This window comes from Homo sapiens, chromosome 2 (genome assembly GCF_000001405.40).
Source record: "Homo sapiens chromosome 2, GRCh38.p14 Primary Assembly".
Taxonomy (NCBI): Eukaryota; Metazoa; Chordata; class Mammalia; order Primates; family Hominidae; genus Homo; species Homo sapiens.
Window position 1 is genome coordinate 79,891,683 of NC_000002.12, and position 24,299 is coordinate 79,915,981.

Here is a 24,299-nt window from a genome sequence, read left to right on the forward strand (position 1 = left end):
AATCTGGATCAGCAAAATAAACTTAAAATGACATAGGCAAAGGCACACTTAATAAATATTACAATACCTTAGAAATTAGTTTTCCTGAAGTAAGTAGGAAGAAACAAATTTATACTGAAAATGCAAAACAACCTGAAAATATATATATATATGTCAAAATGCTTATGATTTTTCTTTTGAGTTGTGGTGACTGTGAATATTTTTTCCTATTTTTATTATTTTCCAAACTTTTTTCCATGAATATTCTTTAATAAAAAATATGCATAGTATTTGCGAAAAATTAAATCTGTTTACAGATATGTTGCAAATATTAAAGTAGTATAAGGAACACTGGTATGTCCTTTATTAACTATTGTTAATATTTTATCATATTGGCTTGTCATTTGTATACATGTTTGCTCTTCTCCCATACACACACTCCTTAACTATTTTTAAGTAGATAAAATCAACTTTATTTTACATTTTTACATCCATATATATACATACAGACACTTCAGAGAATATTTCTTTGATTCTGTTAAGATTTGTGGATTTATAGAAGAGTTGTACCAGAGCTCCTGTAAGCTTGCTAGTTTTGCCTAGTTTAAGTATTAATTTAATGGAAGGCTATGTATAACAAAACCTCTGCAAATATTGACTTTAGACAGTCATGGCCATGAAACATTGTGTCCCTGCAAATAATCACTAACCAAAGTTATACTAATTCATGCACGCCTATTCTCATTACCTGTATTAAAAAAAAACCCCACAAAATAGAGTAAAATTTGTTCCTGGTGGATTATGAAATAATACTGAAAACTTTCTTTTCCGTATTTTATGAACCTTTACTTAAGAAACATTATTTAAAATATAATAGAATGTGATTTCCAATTAGGTCAGTGTAAATAATAAAACACATGACATTTTAAAGATAGGGCACTTGTATTTTATCCCCAGTAGGGGAAAGAAAGAGAAAGAGACAGGCAGACAAAGAGACAGACAGAGATCTGCATAATCCATTCATTTCTGAAGATAACTAGCTACTATGATGCTGCATTTCTTTTCTCATAGGCCCATAAAACTTCAAAATTGAGAAAGATATTTGAGGCCATCCAGTATCACTTTCATAATATTGGAAGTTCCCACTGCAACATCCATAACATCTGGACTTTTGTCTTTGCAGGACATTATTGAGAGGAAATATTGGGGTGGAGGCAGATGACTTGTTCTAATTGTTAAAAGCTCTAATTGTTAAAAATAAAGAAAGAGTTTCTTCTTACACTGACATTTCCAAAGTAAATTACCAAAGCACTATACCCGTCCCTGATTGTTAGACTTTACCACATTATTATTATGGTCACAGACATGTCTTATTTCCATGACGTGGCTGAGAAATCCTTGATGAGAAAATCTCATAGCAATCTCTCCCCAGATCACTTTTCACATATGATAGGTAGTAAAAAAATATTTGAGAATAGTTGATTGTGCCAGACTGTTGTGTCTCATTATGAAAAAAAGCCTGTTAAGTGATATCTTTTCCACCGTTTTGTCCTCCTTCAGCCCGTTTTCTCACATGGCCACTAAAGTTAACTTTCTAAAAATCATAGGCTTCCATGCCTCTCTTCTCTTCTGCTTACACAAGAATCTCTTTCCAGAGGTCCCACTCACAACTACAAGTAGGTTGACTTATTTTTTTATGGGATTGGGAAGAGGAGGAGGCTGCTGGTTCTTGTGAGGTTTTCAAGTGGAACTGCCTTGGTTACCTCTTTGGTTAAAAGTTAAAGATATTAAGTTTCAATATTTGTTACTTTAACAAAATGTATGCTATACATTGAGTTAATATTGACCAACTCTTTAATTTGGGCTCCCCAATTTTAGACATTTACAATCCAACCTAAATTAATATATGGTGGCCAATTGCCACACCCTTGAAAAAGTAAATGATGAGTTTATTATTAGAGAATAATATGCTAGGAAATAAGGTATAAATCATATGTATCAGTCTTTGACCCAAAAGCTTCCAACAAACTGATTCTCAAACCAGTGTAACTTTGATTTTCTATTACTTTTGCTAATGTCAACAACCCTAATCCTGCAGTTTGTTCTTTAGAGATATTTTAAGTCAATTATGCTATTTATGTTTTTACATTTATAATTATACAAATAATAGTTTTTTAGACTAACTTTATCTGAGGATAACTAAACTTTCTCCTGAGCTCTAGACATCTGTTTAGCTGTGTATGTAACATCTGAATTTGAATGATTTTTAAGTATCTGAAAAATTCTCTAACTAAATTGAGCATTTTTATTCTGTCAAGCTTAGGCTGTTTTCTTCTTCTTCTTCTTCTTCTTCTTCTTCTTCTTCTTCTTCTTCTTCTTCTTCTTCTTCTTCTTCTTCTTCTTCCTCCTCCTCCTCCTCCTTCTTCTTCTTCTCTTTCTTCCTCTTCTTCTTTTTTAAGCTAAAGGAACTACGTTTGGTAATATAGCCATTGAATCCAGAAAACTGAGAATCCTGCCCACTTTTCTCTCCAGTTAACCTTGATATGCTATGAATTCAGTTCCCTTTAGAACTCTTGATTTGTTTCTCCCATCTTCATGAACACTGGCTAATCAGGCCCATATTTTTTGCCTGGATCATTGCAATAACTTCCTAACTGGTTGCCCTGCCCCCCGCCCCACCAACTCCTTCCCTCTGTATTCCATCATCTTGGTAAGCCCAGCCTTTCTAAAATGCTAGTCACATATTATTTACTAGTAAAACTCTGTCTTCAGGATCAACTTTAAAGCTCTTAGCACAGTACCAAATCGTTTCCGTAGGTCCCTGCATACATCTCCCATTGCATAGCCTCCTTTTCCACACATTGTATTCCACATTCTGCCGTAATGAACTGTTTATCATTTTCAGGTACATAGTCACTGTTTAATCCATGTGTTGGCCCTCATGGGAGTTCCTCTGTCTGTTCCTTCCTTCCCTTCTTTTCTGAATAATAAATTTATATTCAGCCTTCCAGATCTACTTATTTTTTGAAACCTTTCCTAACTACCCCAATTTCTATGCCACTATTCCTTCTATGCTACTATTGTACTTTATGCATATTGTTAAGAATATTGTTCTGTTTTTTGTTTCTGTCTCTCCAAATGTGAGCACCAAATAGACAGAGATCATGTATTGTTCACACTTTCACATGCACTTTTAGCACAAAGACATTAAAGAAATATTTGTTGAATGGCTGCTTAAATGAATATATTAACTGTTTGATCTTAGTAGCTATCAGTTTATCCATCCTAACTTCTCAGTCTTCTGGAATGTTGGTATATGCCATACCAATCACAATAGATAGCCCATGGCTACATGATCATGCTATTATGTTCCAATGGGCACGCATCATCTTCTTGAGTTAACTCTCTTAGGGCTTCTCTTTTCCAGTGTTACACAGAAAATCTATTATATATAATTTAAATGATCGTTAACAGATGTGCATCACAATTCAGAGTTCAAAAGAGAACATGACATTCTCATTAAGCAAAAAGCGTATTTTCAGGCCATGCAATGTTTCTTGAGAAGCAATTAACATATCACACATTATTCCTGTGAGACAAAAACTGTTTCTTTCCCATCTTAATTTGCCTGCTTAAAAATAGACAGAAGAAGATAGATGAGTTTATGCTCAAGGTGTATGCATTTCCCTTGCGGCCCGTGAACACATTTCCTTTTCATATTTGCAGAATATTGGTACAATTATTCTTTCATCAGACATGAAATTTGAGTGTATAACCAGTTTGTGGTTATCACCTACTAATTTATTAGGTTGATAACAGCAATTAAGCCACAATTGCTTCTGAGAAATATGAATTGACTTTCCGTTTTAAATGGATAATTTAGCATCTCAAACCACCGACATAGAGTTTAACTAATTTCTGGGATAAGAAGTTTGTTTCTCCTAGTATTAAACTTAAAAAAAATTCAACCATTGATCATCCAGTTACTAATTATTTAATTGTGGGATTATGTGGTTTGTGAAATTTCTTAATTTTTTTTTTTTTTTTTGGCTGCATGCCTTTTGACTATTTATGGGTATCGTAAGGGAGAGGATTTTGGACAGAAATGTAACATATCAGTAGTAGGCCCATGGTTTATCCACCGACTTAAAAATGTAAAAATTATTATTAGCTTTATAAGCTTAAGACCATATAAAAATGGGCAGCAGATCTATTTTGGTCCACAGACCATTGTTTGTTGACCCTGGCTTAATCAAATCTTCAGAGGAGATTCTCAGAATTTACCAACCACAGGAGGTGGCTGTCTCAGCTGGTCTCCTGCCCATTGAAAGTAGAATTAGGCTGAGTGTGGTGGTTCATGCCCATAATCCCAGCACTTTGGGAGGCTGAGGGAGGTGGATCGCCTGAGTCTGGGAGGTCGAAACCAGCCTGGGCAATGTGGCAAAACGCTGTATCTACAAAAAATACAAACATTAGCCAGGTGTGGTGCCATGTGCCTGTAGTCCCAGCTGTTTGGGAGGCTGGAATAGAAGGATCACTTGAGCCTGGCAGGCAGAAATTGCAGTGAGCCAAAATCGTGCCACTGTACTCCAGCCTGAGCAACAGAGTATGAGACCCTGTCTCAAAAAAAAAAAAGGAGAACTAACGTTTGTCATATGACAATAGGTTACTCATCCCCATTCCAATAATTCTGAATCTCAAGTACACTGAACCACATCAATTGCTACTGTAGACCTAAATGTACATATCTAACTAAAAGGCCATCCACATATATTCATCTGCAAATATTAGGTTCACTGTAGTGACCTATTTTGCTCCAGAAGCCTTTTGGTAAAGGTTGGGAAAAGGATATTCTTGTTTTAGGAATCCTGACTCCACTAATCAGCAAATGTTTATCAAATACTTATGTATGAAACATTCAGCTGGGTGGAGCAGAAGATACCGACCTATAAGGAAAGCATCCTAACTGGTGATCTGTTTCTCTCACACACACGTGTGTGCACACAGGCGCACTGCTGCCAGTGCATGGTAATATCAGACAAGAGCCAAAAGGGAAATTTGAATAAGTGAAAAGAAGCTTAATAATGGGAATTAAAGAGGAAAGTTTTGTACACAAGAGAGTTAAAGATCGTGTTTCCAGAGAAGGATCCACATACGCTGCCAAGAAGCATCAGAGAGGAAGGGGCTGAAACAGTCAGCAGAGAAGAATTAATAACACGGTTACACATGAAGCATACTGGGGTGGGGCAATGCAGAGACCACTTTGGCAGGAGCCGGGGGTTCATGAGGAGAGACGAAGTTTGAGAGGCAGAGACTTGCGCCGGATTGCTGAGAATCTTGAAGGCCAGGCATCTTAGTCATGAACTGAGTAGAGGTGAGATTATATTTTTTTTACACAATGCTTGCTGAAAATGACATCTCAATTCAAGGGCTGGATGAAAATGCAACTCATTGCTTTATTCCCTTATGAATTTTGATATAACTCACAAAATTAATCTAATAGAAATGAAATTGGAGAATTACTAGGTAAGAGTCCAGCATCTGAAACTTGTCGGGTCCTAGATAATAACCTATTACAGGCCATGGGGAGCCGTTGAAGGTTTGAGGCCAGTGGGGTAGTGTGGTTAAGCAGGATTTTAAGACTAGGCTGTTAGGAAAATATGCTTTACCGAGAAAAAAAAAAGATAAATTTAAAGTCTCGATGAAGGAAATGGGAGATGATCATGACTTGAATAAGGGGGGAATATGGACTGACCATGGAAATATAAAGTATTACATTAAAAATAGCTATTTGAAATGATTTGATGTTTAATATCTATAACTCACTACATTTCATATATTGTTCAAATCTCTTTACTTATATTATTTAACTTTCTCAACAACACTGTTGTATAGGTACTGCTAAGATTCATTCCTGTTTTTCAAATGAGGAAGCTGAGACGCTTTTAGCATTTAAGCAACCTACTCAGCTAGAAAGAATTACAACTAGAAGGAATTGGAGCCAGGTTTCTAATCCAAGCCATCTATCTTAGTCCATTTGTGCTTCTAAAACCAAATACCCAAGAATGGGTAATTTACAAAGAGCAAAATTTTGTTTCCTCACAGTTATAGCACTGGGAAATCCAAGATCAAAGTGCCAGCATGTTTGGTTGTCTGGTGAGGGTTGTTCTCTGCTCCCAAGATGGTGCCCTTCCCCTATGGAGGGGAAGAATGCTGGATCCTGGTATGGCGGAAGGCAGAAGGGCAAGCTAGCCAAATGCTCCTTGAAACCTCTTTTATAAGTGCCTTAATCCAGTTCAAAAGGGAGGAGCCTTATGTCCCAATCAGCTATTAAACGTGCCACCTCTTAATATTATCACCTTGGCAACACCTGAATTTTGGAGGTGACACATGTAAACCATATCACCATCCAACTCTTAACCCCTGTAACATTTTATACCTTGGTCTTAGATTATATATATGGTTTCTTTTCTTTCTTTTTTCTTTTTTTGAGATGGAGTCTCACTTTGTCACCCAGGCTGGTGTGCAGTGGTGTGATCTCAGCTCATTGCAACCTCTGCCTCCCGGGTTCAAGTGATTCTCCTGCCTCAGCCTCCCGAGTAGCTGGGATTATAGGTGCCCGCCACCATGCCCAGGTAAGTTTTTTTTTATTTTTAGTAGAGATGGGGTTTCACCATATTGAGCAGGCTGGTCTCGAACTCCTGACCTTGTGATCCACCCGCTTTGGACTCCCAAAGTGCTGGGATTACAGATGTGAGCCACTGTGCCCGGCCGGTCTTAGATTATATTGATGCTTGATCTTTCAACATAGGTTCCCAAGAGAACACAGCTACAAGTGCACGGGCCTTGGAGTCAGAAAGACTTCTCAAGTCTTCCACTGTGTGGCCTTCATCAAGTCACCTAACCTGACCGAGGAACGGTTCTTGCATTTATAAAGTGAAGATTTCTCATTAATTCTAATTTCTCATTAGGAGAATGAAGGGAGATTATGGATTCTTGTTTCCCTTCTACTTCCATTTTTCCTCCTTATAAGTGAGAGTGTTAGGTTTTGGAGGAAAATGAGAAGTACTTTCTCATACATCTGATATTTGAGGTGATGGCAGAACTCCCAACAGATCATGTCCAGTGTACAGCTGTAGTAAGGGCCAGCTTCTTAGAGGGTCGGGATTGGACATGGTACTTTGGTTCTCTTTCACAAGCAGGTGATAGTAGAGAGTAGTTGAGCCCTCTAAGAAAGAGTTGTTGAGAGGACTACTGAGAACAGGGAGCAGGGCCTTGAGATATACCAACTTACTGAGGTAGATCCAGGAAGAAGAACTGGGCAAGTGAAGGGAAGGAGGAGTATGAATAGAACCACAGTAAAGCAGGGTTTTGTAAAGCATAGGGGAGGCTTAACTTAGTCAGCGGGTGGTAAATTGTGTTCAAAACACACAGAGCTCAAAGAGGATGAATACTGAATAAAAACGATGGTCAAGAATGTAGAACGTTCCAGGAGACTAGAGATAACATGACTGTTTTTTTTCAGGAAAAGAATAAAATCCATTTCCTTTGTTAAGCCCTCTAAAAATCTGATTTGATTAAGTGCATTTTGGATACTCACTTTCTAATCAATTCATAATATAAAGCTAAGGATTATTATCTTTGCCCTGCTTTACGTACTTAATTGTAAACTAGTATCCTTGTCGGAGCTAGAGAATGTGCTCCTGAAATGCCATAGCAACTCAGCAACACACAGAGATGATGGGATTAGGGAAAATGAAGTTGGCATCCACTAGATTTCACAATCCAGTAGGAACAGCCCAGAGCTGAACTTCCTCGCCCAGTTTATTCATTTGCTTTGGTAAATCACTTTGTCTTTCTAAATATAAGCTTCTTCTCAAAAACGAAGCTAATGTGAGCTTAGGTAAATTTCTCTTAAAAAACACATTAAGTATCTAAGGATAGAAAGTGCTGTTTAATTATTAAGTCATTATCTTTGTCATTTATTTCCAATTAAACTGAACTGTTTAATTACAAATAACATCTTAAGTAGATAAATGGCATAATTAGTTTATTTTTAACTATATGCCTGCGAAGCAAAAGTTATTTATAAAATACTTTGCAATTTAAAAATTAAGGCAAATCTAAAATGGTGGTTAGAATTTTTCTGTAGCTTAATAAAAAATACATGATTAAAACTCAAGGTCCTTGGTATCTTTCATTCCTAGTGCTACCCCAATTACGTCAAGAGAAACTTTTCATGTAAAGATAGAAAGATTCACCCTGGGAAAGCTTGGCACAGAATGAAAAAGATGAAAATGTATCTGTATTAATTATTGATACACTACAGGGAGAGTAAGTGTTTAAAACCAAACAAATAACATTCTTTTGATTTAGACACCTCGGTTAATTTATTTAAATGATCTTGATTTATGCTTTTATCTCAGAGTCCAGTCTTTAAAATAAGTATTTAAAGCATTCAGAGCCAGAATTATGATCATGCCTCATTGTCTATAGGTGTCTTTCATTCTCAATTTTCAGTGCTGTAAAATTCCAATTTTATTTCCCTGTTTATAGGCATTTTAATGGGAAACTGGGAGAGGCTGCCTCAGGGGTTACTAGTCAAGTATTTTAAGCTGGATAGCAAACTTTTTTCTTTGTTTTAAGAAGGATTCCATAGTGAAGAGTTAATCAGTAGGTATTGCTGGACTTGTTTATGTTGTTTTGTTTGGTTTGGGATTGTATCAGTGCATCAAAATAACATAATGAATAAAATAAAATGCTTTAACAAATTTTGATCCCACTAAAGCTTTCTGTGACCTAGACACTTGGTAATGGGTCAACACAGCATGAAGTCCTAAGCTAAACCAAAGCTAACATTTCTATAGTCATGCTCAGTCACTGTCATATTTCACCTGACCTATGGCATCGGTACCTGCGACTACATGGCTTTGCCCCCTCTTCGTTATGTGGAAAGAAACAGAATCTTGAATTTAATGCTTGGGAGGAAGAAGGAAGGAAGCTCTGTGGTATCCGTGAAATATAAAACTTACCCAGTTATACCCCAAGACAAGGCAAACCACAAAATTTAAATATTAAAAGGTAAATAGAAGAGCCAATAATAATTCATAATACATTTAAAAATAACTAAAAGAGTATAATGGGAATGTTTGTAACACAGAGAAACGATAAATGCTTGAGGTGATGGACACCTCATTTACCCTGATGTGATTATTACACATTGTATGCCTGTCTCAAAATATCCTGTGTACCCCATAAATAGATACACGTACTATGTAGCCTTAAAGACTAAAAATTTAAAAATATAAATTTTTTAAAGGGTACATAGAATGGGGATGATGATTAAGTTACAAAAGACAGAAAGTGAAGACATGGGTACATTGTAGCACATTGCTGGGAAAAGCTCAGAATAATTAATGGAGAAATATACCTACATTTAAACATGCATTGTCATTTAGGTTTTCTGGTTTTCATTGCTTTAATTGCCCCATATCAGAAGGACATATTCCTTTGAAAGAATGACTTTGACTAATGTTAACTTTCTCTTTCAGTTTTTTTTTTTTTTAAGATTTAAAAGATAAAAGTGAATGACTGCATAGAGGCATGTTGACATTTATTCTTTCTTCTGCTTGCTTGATTCAAAATAGTCATGCTGGACAGCAGGTGGTAAGTGCCTGGTGTTTATGAGGCAGAACAGCAATTTACTATTTTCCTTACTTGTTGCCTTGAACTATGAAGGTAGTAAAAATCCAGGACACATTTGTCTTACAGAATTGTCACAATCAACAAAGAAAATCACAGAATCACAGGACTTTTTCATACCACTAGCATTTGCATTTTCCATGCTGATTAGCTTAGATTTTGGAAAAAAAGTTATGAAAATCAGCCACACTTTATATTATCAAATTGCTTTCTTTGTTGTCTTTCTTGGCATTTTGAAAATTCTGTGTACGTTTCAGATGACTAAGTAGTTCACTTAAAGGTTTAACCAATGTTGAAAGCCAGAAAGTGTAAAGATGAGTAAGATTTTCTTCCTACTCTTTAACAAGCTGTTTCTTGGCTAGTAAAGACCATTGTCAGCTGTGCACTAAAAGTCTTTGAAACATAATCTGTGGGTAAAACCATTGAATTAGTGTTCTATGTGTGCTAGAGCTTTCCTACTGACTTAACTGTAATTAAAAACATTACTTTATGCTCCAGGTCTTGTCAGGTATGCCCATCTTTCTCAATTACAGCTGAGTACAATTAGATACAAACTCAGCTTTAAGACGGTTAACTCCTAGCCAAAGAAAGACTGAGCAATATTTGTATTTACCTTCTTGGTAGAAGAAATATATTGTAATACCTACTGACCAGTTTGAAACAGAGGTGAGGATTAAAATTAGGAGAAAGTAGCATTTTAGAGGTTTTATTCCTGGTGATTATTTGCTGTTTTTGATCCCCTCTTGAAGTATGAAAGAATAATATGCTACTGTGCTACTGTGACTTTAGTTTTTGAAATGGGGAAATGGCTGTTGCATTGATTCCCTCACGATGATTAGCATCGTGCATGCAGAAAGGATACATGAGGTAAACAATTAGTGCAGTGGCTAAGAGCATAGACGCCAGAGCTAGAGGGCACGCATCCCAATTCCAGCCCTGCTCTTTGCCCTGAGGTCATGCCTGCACAATAATTCATCTCTCTGAACACATTTCTTGCTACATCTACTTGACATCTAGGTGTGTTTTTTTGCTTTGCATTTCTTGTTATTGGATATTAGGTCTTCCTATTGGGTATTCCTTGTTTATATGAAGGCGATAGATTTTGCATATTAATACAGGTGCCCATACCACTACCCGATGTTCATATACTTATAATCAACCTTCCACCAGACTTCTCCAGTTAAAGGGCTCATAAGAACTTCACCTGCTCTTCATCTGTTATCTTTCACAGTTGTTCAAGGATCAGCAAATGTTTTCTTCCTCTTCTTTTTTTTTTTTTTTGAGATGGAGTCTGGCTCTGTCGCCCAGGCTGGAGTGCAGTGGTGCGAGCTCAGCTCACTGCAACTTCTGCCTCCCAGGTTCAAGCAATTCTCCTGCCTCAGCCTCCCAAGTTGTTGGGATTACAGGTGTGTGCCACCATGCCCGGCTAATTTTTGTATTTTTAGTAGAGGCGGGGTTTCACCATATTGGCCAGGCTGGTCTCGCACTCCTGACCTTGTGATCTGCCTGCCTCAGCCTCCCAAAGTGCTGGGATTACGGGCATGAGCCACTGCGCCCGGTCAGCAAATGTTTTCTTGAAGGGCCAAGAGTAAATATTCCAAGGTTTGTGTGCCATACAGTTTCTGTCCTAACCATTCCCCTCTAACATTGCAGTGTAAAAATAGGCATAGACAGTATGTAAATGAATGAGCCTGACTGTGTTCTAATAAAACTTTATTTGCAAAGTAGGAGTTTGACTCCTAGGATGTAGTTTGCTGATATCTGCATTATTGGTGTTGTTAGTGTTAGAGGTCTAGGTTTTATCTTTGTCTCCTTCTCCCTCATTGTCATAGCCTATATATTTTCAAATCCTGCCAGATTGACATTCTACATTTTTCTTAAATTCATTACCTTCTCTTTATCCATATAGACACAATCCTGATTTGTAGTTTCCTCACCTCTCTTTTGGGCTCTGAAGGCTTGATGCTGTCCTGCCTTCTGCTTGCAGTCCTGCCAAAGCTAACTTCCTTAGCTGCAATAAGAAACTGTCTAAACCCAAACAGGATTATGTCACTCCTTTGCTTTAAGATCTCTGATGATTCATCATTGCCTAAAGGGGTGTTCTCAAATTGAAAACTTTGTAACATGGCAGAGAAGTCGCTTCAGAACCTGGTTCTTTCTCTCTCTCCAACTGCATCTCCCATTCCTATTTATGTCCATTCAGGCCCTTGAGGAAGCAAGGTAGATGGGATTTTATGTATAAGGAGGAATTGCCTGTGAAGGATAAAATAGGAGTGACTGGGCTTTTGTGGAGCTTTTAGACTGCTATGGGGACAAACACCTTTGAAAGGAGAGCAGGAAAGAAAGTGGATTGAGTAGGAAGAGGCTCAGCACTGTTCCCAGCAAGTCCCAGTCAGGCCAGTGGGGAGCCCGGATCAGGAGCTGAAGCTGGTCATTGGAGGAGTCCCTGTTGGGCAGGAGCATGCGCCTGTGCTTAGTGATTGACTGGCGCTGCCTGGGGTCAAGTGCAGCCTACACATGAGACTGCAGTAGAACTACAGGTGCAGCAGATGGAGATGGTCAGTTAACTATGCCCCCCAGCAGTTTAACTCAGAGGAGAGTGGCTTGGGGCCCCTCTATGGCACCGTACATGTGACCAGCTTCAGTTGATCTCTTGTAATATTTTTCATATAATATGCCATCTCTCACCTCCTAGCCCATCTGCATTGCCCCTTCCTGCTCCTAACTTTGCTTGGCCAACCGCTTTTCACTCTTTAAGTCTCAGCTGAGGGATAAACTCTTCTGGAAGTATTTTTTTACTTTCTACCTCTCAACTGTGCAAATTGCCATCATTCAGTCATTCCATAACATCATTAGCCATTTCTCCATTACAATTGGTTGTACATATTTTTGTGCTTGATTAGAGAGTCAACCTCTTGAAGAAAGGATTATTTAATATGTGCTCTTAGACTCCTACAGTAACTGGCACTCATTTGTTGAATGAATGATTATACTCTCAGTTATCTATTGGGAGGGTTAGGTGACTCAGATAGCATAAAAAGGACAGCATGACAGATAATACTTAAGTATTATATTTAATTTAAAAGAATTAAATTTTCGTTTTAAAGTAATATACTTTATAATTGTAATTATGACATATTAGACTCATTTCACCTAAATGTGGACAATCTTATACAGTTGAAGGAACACTGGGCTTGAAATCAAAAGACCTGTGCTCAAATCCTGGTGACCTTATTTGTGAGCTGAATGACCATGGGACAACATCTCTGGCATCATTTCCCTATTCAATAAGATGGGAAGATAGGGATCTCAAAGACACTGCATTTTGAACCCATCAAACCATTTGTAATACATCCAAATACTTGCTTTGATGGAGGTCTGTCTGTTTTCTCCTCTTATGTCAGAGCTTGCATCAAGCCAGCTCGGTGTCTCATTGTATACTGAAATTTTAGATCACATAGCTTTTTGTGGAGACAATGAATGATAAGAGCAATTTAAAAGTAGTGCTGTTACAACAATTGTGTGTGTGGTGAGTGCTGGTAAATGTATTATTCTGGGAAGTAGTTTCGAACTACATAGTCTGCTAAATTATTTTAGGTTAAAATTTTTATAGAGCGCCACATGAGAGCAAATGGGAGATCAATTATGTGAGACTAGAGAGACTGTTATAGCACCGACTTGAAGGCAGAATAGGATTCTAGTCTTGTTGGCTTGGGGGTGAATTATTGTGGCTGTTATCTTTATGTCCATGCATTCCAATTGCCACTCCATAAACTGTAAGAATGAAAACAATAATTTTTTAAAGTAGAGATGTTAATAAAAATAAGTAAAACTCATAAAGCACAAAATAGTATGCAAAGCAAATAAGCAAATAAGAAAATAGACATGATAAACATAGATTAACTTAAAACATAAGAAAAAGATAAAATAAGAAATGCAGGCCCTCTATCTGTAAATGAACTAAAATGACAATGTAAGATGGAACTAAAAGGTCAAAAAGATAAAATGACTAAATGAGCTTTAAGAATGCCGACAGGAGATGGGGATATTTACAATGTAAAAGAATGAACTAAAATAAGTCTGTAAAGTTGTAAACAGCATAAGAGCCGGTCACAGGAGCATACTTTTGCTGCGAAGGGAGAGACAGGAAGGCTTCTCCTCATCCTTTCACTCTTTGGTGTTGGTGTGCTGCCCTCTTAAAGTATTCTTCTGTGACCAGGGAGGGGAATCTGGCTCCTGGATGTTGATGATGATGATGATGATGGTGATGATGGTGGTGGTGGTGATTTGGTGCCCCTTCCTGCTAGCAGAGGGCAGCCACTCAGAGAGGTGAGGACAGGCAGAGCTGGTATGGAGAACTGAGGCCTGTTAGAGCCCTGTGTTCATGGCTGTTTGCTGATCTGAATGTCCCTGAAGTGTGTTAGGATAGATGGCTTACCTGGGTGTTTCTTAGTTTTTTAATTACTTTCAAATTATACAATGGCAAATACTCCTCCTTCTTTTCACTTTTTCATTCTCTGTATATTTCTTGCTCAGGATGGATTCATTTCCAGGGGTTGGTTTTTTATTTGTAGGAACTATAGATACAGCCTTTTCCTCTAGCTCTTGAGCCTCTGGTTTCATTTCTGTTTTTTCCTTATTTTCTCGCTTGTTGGAGCCTGTTGGAAACCTGGCCAATTCTCTAAAAACAGACAGAGACAGACACATACAACTACATACACACAAATAAGCCACAGCCCCTTCCATACACATGCCCGTGTGCATATACACACACGTACACATACATGCATCCACTCCACCCATGCATACATACTGTACCGACCCATTCATAGATTCATAAACACACACACAAATAGCACATATCTTGCCCCATACACACATACACACACAGCTCCACATACACACAACCAGTGCCCATCTCATCCGGGATACACACACACACACACACAGACACACACCCACATGCAATCAGTACCTCTTCCCGTGCACATGTGCATGCACACACTTACACAGGCCCACGTGCACTGGCCTTTTTTCTTTGTGCCTTTTGTCTCCCGAGCGGCTTCTCCCTGCTGCTTTTCACATCCATCATTGCAATGCTCCCCATCTGTACTGCAGATACAGATCTGAATATTGTAAAATTATTGTTTCTTTTCCAGGGAGATTTTTTAAAAAGCTTTTCCACTGTGATCTGTAAATAATGAATAATTCCATTAGAAATGTGATGGATAGTGTAACTTTTATGCAGAGTTTGTCAAGCTCAATGTTTCAGGCTTTTACTTTCACAACAGCCCCAGGCCATGGCAGGTAGGAAACTCAATTGGCTGACACTCCAAAGTCTCTCTTGTCACATTTCCCAAAGTGTGTTCCTTGGGTTCTCATAGATAATTCATGCGTTTTAAAAGCAGCACTTTCCATGCTCGAATAGATTTGGGAAACGCTACAGTGAACTGACTCCTTTAGTGCAGAGCTCCCCAAAGCATTTCATATGATAATTTGCTGTAGGTCATGCGGTATTTCCAAAACATATTTGGCCAGGGAACCTTATTTTTTCATCAAAACATTATATCTCTAAGCTCAGTGTTCCATGGAAAATAATTTAGGAAATAGTATTCTAATGACACTAGTACATTCTCTCTACTGCAGAGAAACTGTTTTACAATTGTCCTTACTGAAGAGTTCAAATTTACCTCCCCATATTTCCATCACATTTGCAGTTCTTGACACGTTTAGTCCTAAAGTACAATAAATACCTGTTCTAAAGCCAGTATATGATTCTGAAGAGTCTCCTGAAATCTTAAAGCAGAACATATGGTTTTCATTATGTTTTATGTTAATATGGTTTTCTATAAAATAGGTCTTTGAAAATCAGTAATCTTTATAAGTAAGATAGTCTAATTATATTTTTACCAGGTATTTCTTCAATTAGAATATTATTTCTTAACGTATATTATATGGATTATATATATACACACACACACACACACATACATATATACATATGTTCATCATAAATGCATCAACAGAAAGGCAGTAGAAAGCGAGAGAGAGTATGTGAGAGAAAGAGAGATGGTTCCAATGGATGCCCCTGGAAAGAGACATTGCAGACACAACACTAGTACGTATAGCAGGAATATCTGTGCTCCCCTCTCAGCTTTCCTTTGGGACTTTCACCTGTAATAATGAACCCTATAGGGCCATCCACTGTATTGCAGCCTCCACATGATTTTTTGACGCTCAACAGCTGTGCCTAAAACCAAGGCACAAAGGACAAAACCCAAATAGCACATTTTGGGTAAAGTAAACATCCCTTTTTCATCCGTTTTCTAAGATATAAGAGAGTACAAATGTAAGAATGATCATCTTGCCAAAGCTGGCACAGAATAGCTGTCTTATCTGCAAGATTTCATGCACTGCTTTCTAAATTGAAAAGAGGCTTTGACCAATTAGTGATTTTCTAAAAAATCCAAGATTCCAGTGGACTTCAGACATGGTCTGTGTTTGGTGTATACCTGTTCCTTTCTAAGTCCCAACCTACCTACACTCATTCCTTAAGACTTCAACATTCTTGTGCCCAAAGGTTCTATCTCTCTGCTCTGGAGATTTGCATTTTAACAGGAATCAGAGAATTGGAGCCCAGATATTCTGCACACAACCTGAACAAACACCCTAGGATGCTTTGGAGGGTTACAACAAACTTTCCCAGAGCATACAGCTGGACTTCACTTTGTAATAACTTAAGCAGTTATTGTATATACTACATCAGCATAAAAAATCCATAAAAGCATCTTTTATCTCCCCTTCTTTTTAGCATTAAGTACAGTAGTAGGCATATAGTAGGTCTTCGGCAGGTGCAGATTAGCAATAGAATAACTACCTATTCTCATTTATGTTTCGTATTGTATTTGTAAATATGGTAAATTGTTCTTTTCTTACAACTCTTTAAATTTGGTGAATATATAAGGAATAAGGAACGTCAAAAGAAGCAGTAACAGAGTGGCAATTGCACCATAGTATTCTACAGTTGGAAGACCATTTGCCCCATCATTGCCACTCTGGTTCTTGGACCTCTGAGAGTGCACCCCCAATGAAGCACACCATTTCCTGCAGCAGGTCATTCTACCTTATCATTGTGGAATGAACTTCTTTGCTTCAGGCAGAAAAGGCTCCCCAAAGGAAACCAGCCTTTGGTCAATGTCACCTTTGCTTCTAGACTTCACACAGTTAATGATCACATACCATCACGCTCTACCCTCCTCATTTGCTGGGAGTTTTCCAAGTTCTGTTTCTATCTTTCTGACTACCCTTTCTGTCTTCCTTTTTGATTCTGGTCCTTCTGTATAGGGGTCTTCTCTGGCCTGCTCTTCTGGCTCTATTCACTTTACTAGTATGTAATTCACTAGTTTATGTCCAAATACCCCTGACATTTACCAGATCCCTATAAAGACTGTTATAGCTCCTGAATTTTGGACGCATATTTCCATCTACCTCGGGGCATCTCTGCCCACATGTTTCCAGGCTCCTAAAACTTGGCTGGGGAAATGCTAAGCTCATGTTCTATGTGACGCCTTCCTTTTAGGAAATATCACTATTTTCCTCTTATATAGGCTCCTTCCAAACAGGTAAATACCTTTATAAGGATACTGTCAGTTATTTGTGACAAGTCTCATACACACATTAGGAATCCTTTTCTAGAACACTAGCATAAATTAACCTGTACTGAATATGCCTGTTGGGTGTTATGTGCCCAAGTTTCAAAAGGCATCCTGCCATGGGAATATCTGCTTCTCATGAGGAGGATTAACGTGTGTGTATACAAGCCACAGCTAATGCATAATTAAGATGTTGATTATTTATCATGTTTTAGCTCTAAAATCTTTATATAATTCCCCAAAGCATTACACTGAAATGTTCTTTCCTTAAAGGCTACGTATTTTAAAAATGCCAAAAAAGTGTCCTAATCTTATTTGAAAGCTCTTCCGTTGAGATAGCCTTTGCCAAGAACATATTCTTCAAATAAGATGTGCTCTTTTAGCTGAAGATTACATTTAGGACAAAATATCTAGAAAAAGTTAATACTTTGTCAAGGCAACTTTAGAATTTGAGTAACCAGTTTCTCCTCCTTGGGGACTCCTGTTCTTGCCTCAGATATTTCTGGTTTCAAAACAGGGTGCCAAGGCAGACCTCTCTTCTCTGCTGATTTTTGTGTGTGTGTGTGTGATACTTTCAGAATAAGATTATCCTGGACCCCATGACGTTCAGCGAGGCCAGGTTCCGGCCGTCCCTGGAGGAGAGGCTGGAGAGCATCATCAGCGGCGCAGCGCTGATGGCCGACTCCTCCTGCACGCGAGACGACCGGCGCGAGAGGATCGTGGCGGAGTGCAACGCCGTGCGGCAGGCGCTCCAGGACCTGCTCAGCGAGTACATGAATAATGTAAGTCTTGGGATCTCCATTCTCATGTCTTGGTGGATTCTGTTCTGCAATCGTGTTGCTCTTTTGGAAGCATAGATAGCAGGAAAAGAGAACAGACCAGGTGTTTACCAAAGAGAGTCAGGTGAAACCAAAGAACTGCTTTGGGAGAGCGCGTGTCGTGTGTGTTGTTTCTGAATCCATTTTTTGTTTGTTTGTTTTAATATGGAACAGGTGGATGGAGAATAAGCTCTTTCACTTTTTACTTGGCTGATTTCTTCTCGGTCATTTTAGTGGCTGCATTTTGAAGTAGGTAAGATTTCAATTGGTAAAGGTAGATGATTGATGGAAACAGCTGAGGATATAGTAAGTCCTCTGTTACAAAGAGCACTTTTAAACCTAAGGATAGCTGTAGATGCGAATCTTCACCCCTAAGAGGCATTAATAAATCTACTAGGTTTAAAAAACGTGTGGATAGGGTTGTTTAAGGAAAAGTTCTAAATGTAGTAAAATTTGGAGGTGTTTTATTGATTCATAGTCAGGAATTGCTTATAAGAGTGAGTCTCTTAAGTTTTCAAATAGGTATGTATGACTGGTATCTAATTGTATTTTGGCACATAATAGCCATCCTCTCCTATAGTTGTAAAATGTGACAGTTTCTGTGTACCTGTAACCTGCAAGAAGGTGATGAAACTCATATTCTTTGCCTTGAAAGGCACTAAATTATGGCTGTATTGATTTGCTACATTCATTCAGCAGAGGCGATGCTTGCAACAGTGGATGATCTGTGCTTCCCCCTTTCCTGGACTTTCGGGTTTGAGATAATTTAGCACAAATTGGGGAAAAATGTAGATAAAGTGAGGTCTCGATATTACATTTTGAAGGAATGCCCTGTATAGCTACCAGGTGGGTAACAGAGACACTGAAAATCTGCTCACAGCTACTGAAGTCCATGTTAGGTATTATTAGAACACCCCGAGGCAATGCTGAAACAAAGCAGCCATTCAGTGTCTCTCCCTCCAGCATCTTACCACTCCCATCATGAGTAAAAATATGTAGCTAACAGACATGCAAGCAAGGAATGAGTGTTGACAGTAGCAGTGCTCCTCCTGCTGACCCTCCAGAGAACTCACTGAGAAAGCAAAAAGATGTCAATGAGAAAACCTAACAAACTAAAAAAAACAAAATTTGTTTCCTTTCCATGAACCTTCAGATTCTTTGATTTTGGAAGACTTGGCCTTTTTCAGCACACAAAGAATAAAATGTGGATGCATCATGTGGCACCCAGCTGCTTATGAGGACGTCTCTATAGGACCCTGGATGACCAACACTTTCTGTAATTTTGATCCATGGTATTACGTAGGGTGCAGCTAGAAATGTTGACCCCACAGTCTCCCAGCTGAGTGAATCTTTTGAATAGCAGATGTGTCAACGAAGAATGCTTATGAAATCTGAGACGCTGTTTGTTTGTTCGTTGTTGTTGTTAACAAAATAGCAAAGGGCTAATTACATGGATGTGGAATTTGGTTTTACATTAAGGCACGCTAGTGGTTCTATTAATGAATAGTTACTGCCAAAGAAGGAAGTAGAAACTACAGAGATCACAGTGATGGTTAAGATCTCAATATAAATAAATCAGACAAAAAAGTATGTTCTTCTAAATAGAAATCACAGAACGTGACTAAATAAGAGTTGATCAACACGTGACATGTAATTTTCAGTTTGGTGTCTAGAATCCTGCCAACTAGAAGTTTTTCTTTCAGTGTAATCTCATGCAGATCAGCAGAGCTGATGGATTTTTGTATTTTATTGACTCCAGGCACTTTTTGTTTTCTGTTCGCAGCCTCGTGATGCAGGAATGTTTTGTGCTTTATTGAAATCTTAGTTTCTATTTTGACATGGTTACAGACAATACATCAATGGGTATAGTGCTTAAATTTCAAAATGCACAAGTTCTATTCACATTGAACCATCATGATCAAAGCCTGAAATAAAACACCTCCTACTTGACATTTATGTAAACTGTATAACATTTAGTTGGACTTCACACTTGTTTGGTGATTTCAAGGTAGAATTGGATGCAGCCAGATCACCTTCATAATTCCTGTCCAGTGCACTCATTTCTCCTGCTGCACAGTCAATTTGTATTTATTTTGATATAGCATGTATGAATACAAAAACACATACACATCCATGCCCTGACTGAAAAGTCTATTGTAGTTAACAGCAAACAGTAAATCAGTCTATCGTTCCTGGGCTGTTATCTTTCTCTTTCAATTTCATAAGCTCTGAGAATAAAGGTATTATCAAATGATCACCTTGCAAGTTTTCATCCTAATGTGCTAGGCAGTACCATTAGGATAAACAAGTTGTTAAACTGAAAATATTTAAAAATCAGCATAACTGACATTTCTGTTTTCTAAAAATCTCCTCATCAGTCCCAGATGAACATTCCACTTACACAATGCTTGCTTGTGGCTGAAGCTGTTCTAAAATTGTATACATGCCAAATTGTATGACACAGAGGGAGACAGAGGTTGTGGAGAGAAGCTGTGTATCACACCTGATAGAAAAAGGGTCTTCATGGAGCATGGGCTATGACTTAGCCACGTAGCTTCCATTGAGCTCAATAGGATAGCAGTCACATGTTAGATATTTCCACAAATGTGTATTCTACTTAATGAACGTGGGTGTGCAACTTGAAGATGTCAACAGAATTGTGCAGTTAAAAGAAGTGGTGATATTTGAAAAAAGGCTGGGTGAACAGAGGCATGGGGTGAAAATCATCACAGATCATGGCGGTGGTAGAAAGGATGGTTGGAATTCTTTTAGGAAAGCCTTGGCTAGACTTAAGTTGCTTTATCAAGTTGAAGATATAATCCAAAGTGAAAAGATTCTTAAAAAATAATCCCCCTTTAAGTAAACTATTATTATTGTACATATGTGAAGACTAATGGGTAGAGAGAGACTTAAAAGGATGCGCGGCCTATAGATGTTAATTGGGATGAGTGCCGTCAGTGTGGTGGTTGAAGTATTATGCTGAGTACTTTAAATAGTTCCAAATTATAGTGAACACATAAACCTTCCTTGGGAACTTATAATTTTATGCAGCTTTCTTTGGTGGCAGTATAAACATAACATTTTATGGGTTTTATTAATAAGAATATTGTGAGGAATGCAAATTTAGAATATTTTATTCATTCAACAAATGTGTATTGTCTGCTGGCCATTTGTGCCAGGCATTGCTCTAGGCTTCTGGGGATACAGAAAGTACCAGAACAGGTAAAATTCTCTGCTTGCTCTCATGCAGCTTACACTGTTGTGGGAGGAGACAGACAGTAAATACTAAGTGATATGAGCAAGAGTCACTTCAGATAGTGATATATGCAAAGAGGAAGTCTAAAACATGGGAGTTAGAGGACGCTGGGTAGTACTGAAGTTAAGAATGGCCTAGGAAGGTGCGTTGAAAGGATGACATTAGATCAAAGACTTCTCAGAAGTGAGGAAGCAAAGAGGCCTTGAGGAGGAAGGGATGACAAGGTCAAGGGCCTTGCTGTGAATGGGTGCCTGGTGCACCCACCCGTTTGAAGCACCATGGGAGTCACAGCAGCTATTGTGAGTAGAGGGGTAGCAGGAGATGGCGTCTGTATGGTGCTGAGGCATCAGTCGGTGCAGGGTGTGGTGAACCATTATACAGAATTTGACTTTCATTCTAATGGAATGAGAGGCCATTGCACAGTAGTGAGTGAAAAATGCCATGATTCAGGTGCTGAGAACAGGCCACAAAGGCAAAAGGCGTAAAAGCAGGAGGACAGGTGAGGAGGCCCTGCGTCCCGTAATATTCATGAGAGGATGGTCTCTTGGGCCAGGGGATAGCAATAGAAGTGGCATAAAGTATTCAAATACTGACTATAAATAAAATTTGCTTATAAATTAACTAGTAAGAAGAATGTGTCTGTTTTATGAACATAAAATCAATATTTGCATTTTGGATGATTTGCATTTTGAATGACAGTTGCAGTTGTATCAATTGCAGCTCATATGATATCTTCATTTGGTTTTGGTTGCACAGGAAATTCTGATTTACTTGGGTGTTGAAAGTAGCTTACTTGGGCCGGGCACGGTGGCTCACGCCTGTAATCCCAGCACTTTGGGAGGCCGAGGCGGGCGGATCACGAGGTCAGGAGATCGAGACCATCCCGGCTAAAACGGTGAAACCCCGTCTCTACTAAAAATACAAAAAATTAGCCGGGCGTAGTGGCGGGCGCCTGTGGTCCCAGCTACTCGGGAGGCTGAGGCAGGAGAATGGCGTGAACCCGGGAGGCGGAGCTTGCAGTGAGCCGAGATCCCGCCACTGCACTCCAGCCTGGGCGACAGAGCGAGACTCCGTCTCAAAAAAAAAAAAAAAAAAAAAAAGAAAGTAGCTTACTTGGCAATGCCTGGACACTCTGCTAGACAGATTGCATTTGAAAGGGGAGTTAAGTAGAAAAATTTTGTTTCAACGTTGTATCACCAAAAATGTCTAAGTATGGTTCACATTCTTATAAAAGACTAGAAAAATTTAATACTTATTCTAAGTATTAAACTGTAATGCAGAACTGTAAGGAGAAAAATTACTACTTATTCTAGGTACTAAAACTGTAAATGAAGAACAATAAGGAAATTCATTAAACTGTTACTTCTTTATGCACAATTCATGGTTAGGCCTATGATGAGAATATGCAATGAGCAGATGTGCCTGGTCCTTGTTGTGTCTTGTGCTGCTGTACAACCTGTTTCAATTTTATATGCATAAACTCTCTGTGTAGCTCGAATTTTTTTTAAGACTAATTTAGAGCTACAGTTTTCTTAAACAATCATGCAGTTAAACTATTTTCAAATGATGGCAGAGATCCTGGTGGCATAAAGTAATGCTGCTGTTCTCTGCTGTAAAATATGGTGAGACATTTTTAATTGTATTTTTAAAAATAATTACAATTGTATATTTTTTTAAATTTTGGATCCAACTTTTTTTCAAGCCTCTTGAAGCATCTAAGTGGATCCCTGGGGTTAACAATTTATAAACCATTAATATATAGAAGGTATTAAAAGCACATGAAGACATATTGATATGGGAACATATATACATATTACAAGTGTTTGAAGCATTGTCATAGCCTTTGTTAGAGAGTAGAATTTAACATAAAGTGGGTTCCTGAAGGAGCCCACTTGTGAGGATTTGAGGACTAAAATAGGATCTAAAAAGGTTATTTCCAGCCCGGTTTTATGGCCTATACACAGCAAGCCTCCAGCATGCTGTTCCACAACACTAGATGAGTAATACATGAGATGATATCCAGGGCCACGAGATCTCTAAGAATGTGGCTTTTACATTTTTGTATAGTGGAAAAGAAATATATGTTCACTAGAAAGAACAAAAAGACAAAGAAGAAAATAAAACATCTCATCCCCCAAAATAACTGCTAATAATTTGGTATGTGTCTTTCCAATGTTTCTGAGCATATAGGAGTGGTATATTTACACACACACACAAACACACACACACACACACACACACATTACACTTTGCTTATTTTTTATAAAATGGACTCATATTGTAAATGCTGTTTTGCAATCTATTCTCTTTACTCAATATATTGTGAATATGTTACCATATCAATAAACATTCTCTAACCTTATGTTTACTGGCTGCATAGCATTTTATTATATGAATATGTGATAATTCATTTAGAAGCAATTCATTTTGAGTGTATTTTTAGGGAAGAGCCTTGGAAAAGATAAGTAGGGAAAACTTTTCCTGCTGGCAGTACAGAGTTCTGATTTTAGACCCAAAGCGTGACTAGGAACAAAATGAGAACGAAGTGAGGACACAGCTTTACAGTTTCTGTGGTTCAGGGGATCCCTGACAAGTCTTGTGCAATCGGATTTTTGCATATAAACAAAATTTAAGTGCCTCTGGGATTCTATTTGAAATAATCTTATGTTTATTTATATTCATTTTCTATATAAATCTGATTTTTATCTATCAGAATTTATTTAAGTTGGCTGTATATTACTGCCGAGAGAGGCCCAGAACAACTAGTTGGCAAGTTCAGTATTTGGGTTTGATCTAAAATCCCAGAGAAAGATCGAAACCTTCCGAAGGGACTGTCATCAGAAAGATAACTTTGCCATAGGAATTGCTATACTGCCACATTTCTCCCATATG

General features: G+C 38.2%; 1 protein-coding gene across 11 annotated transcripts in view; it reads left to right on the top strand.

The window, feature by feature from the left end:
• CTNNA2 (catenin alpha 2) overlaps positions 1–24,299 on the top strand; it is a 1,463,404-nt gene that overhangs the window by 706,306 nt on the left and 732,799 nt on the right. For all 11 annotated transcript variants that reach the window (NM_001399737.1, XM_024452714.2, XM_011532556.3 and 8 more), the window contains one exon: positions 17,912–18,115. In NM_001399737.1, coding sequence (NP_001386666.1) covers positions 17,912–18,115 — 204 coding nt within the window. The remainder of the gene's footprint in view (positions 1–17,911; positions 18,116–24,299) is intronic.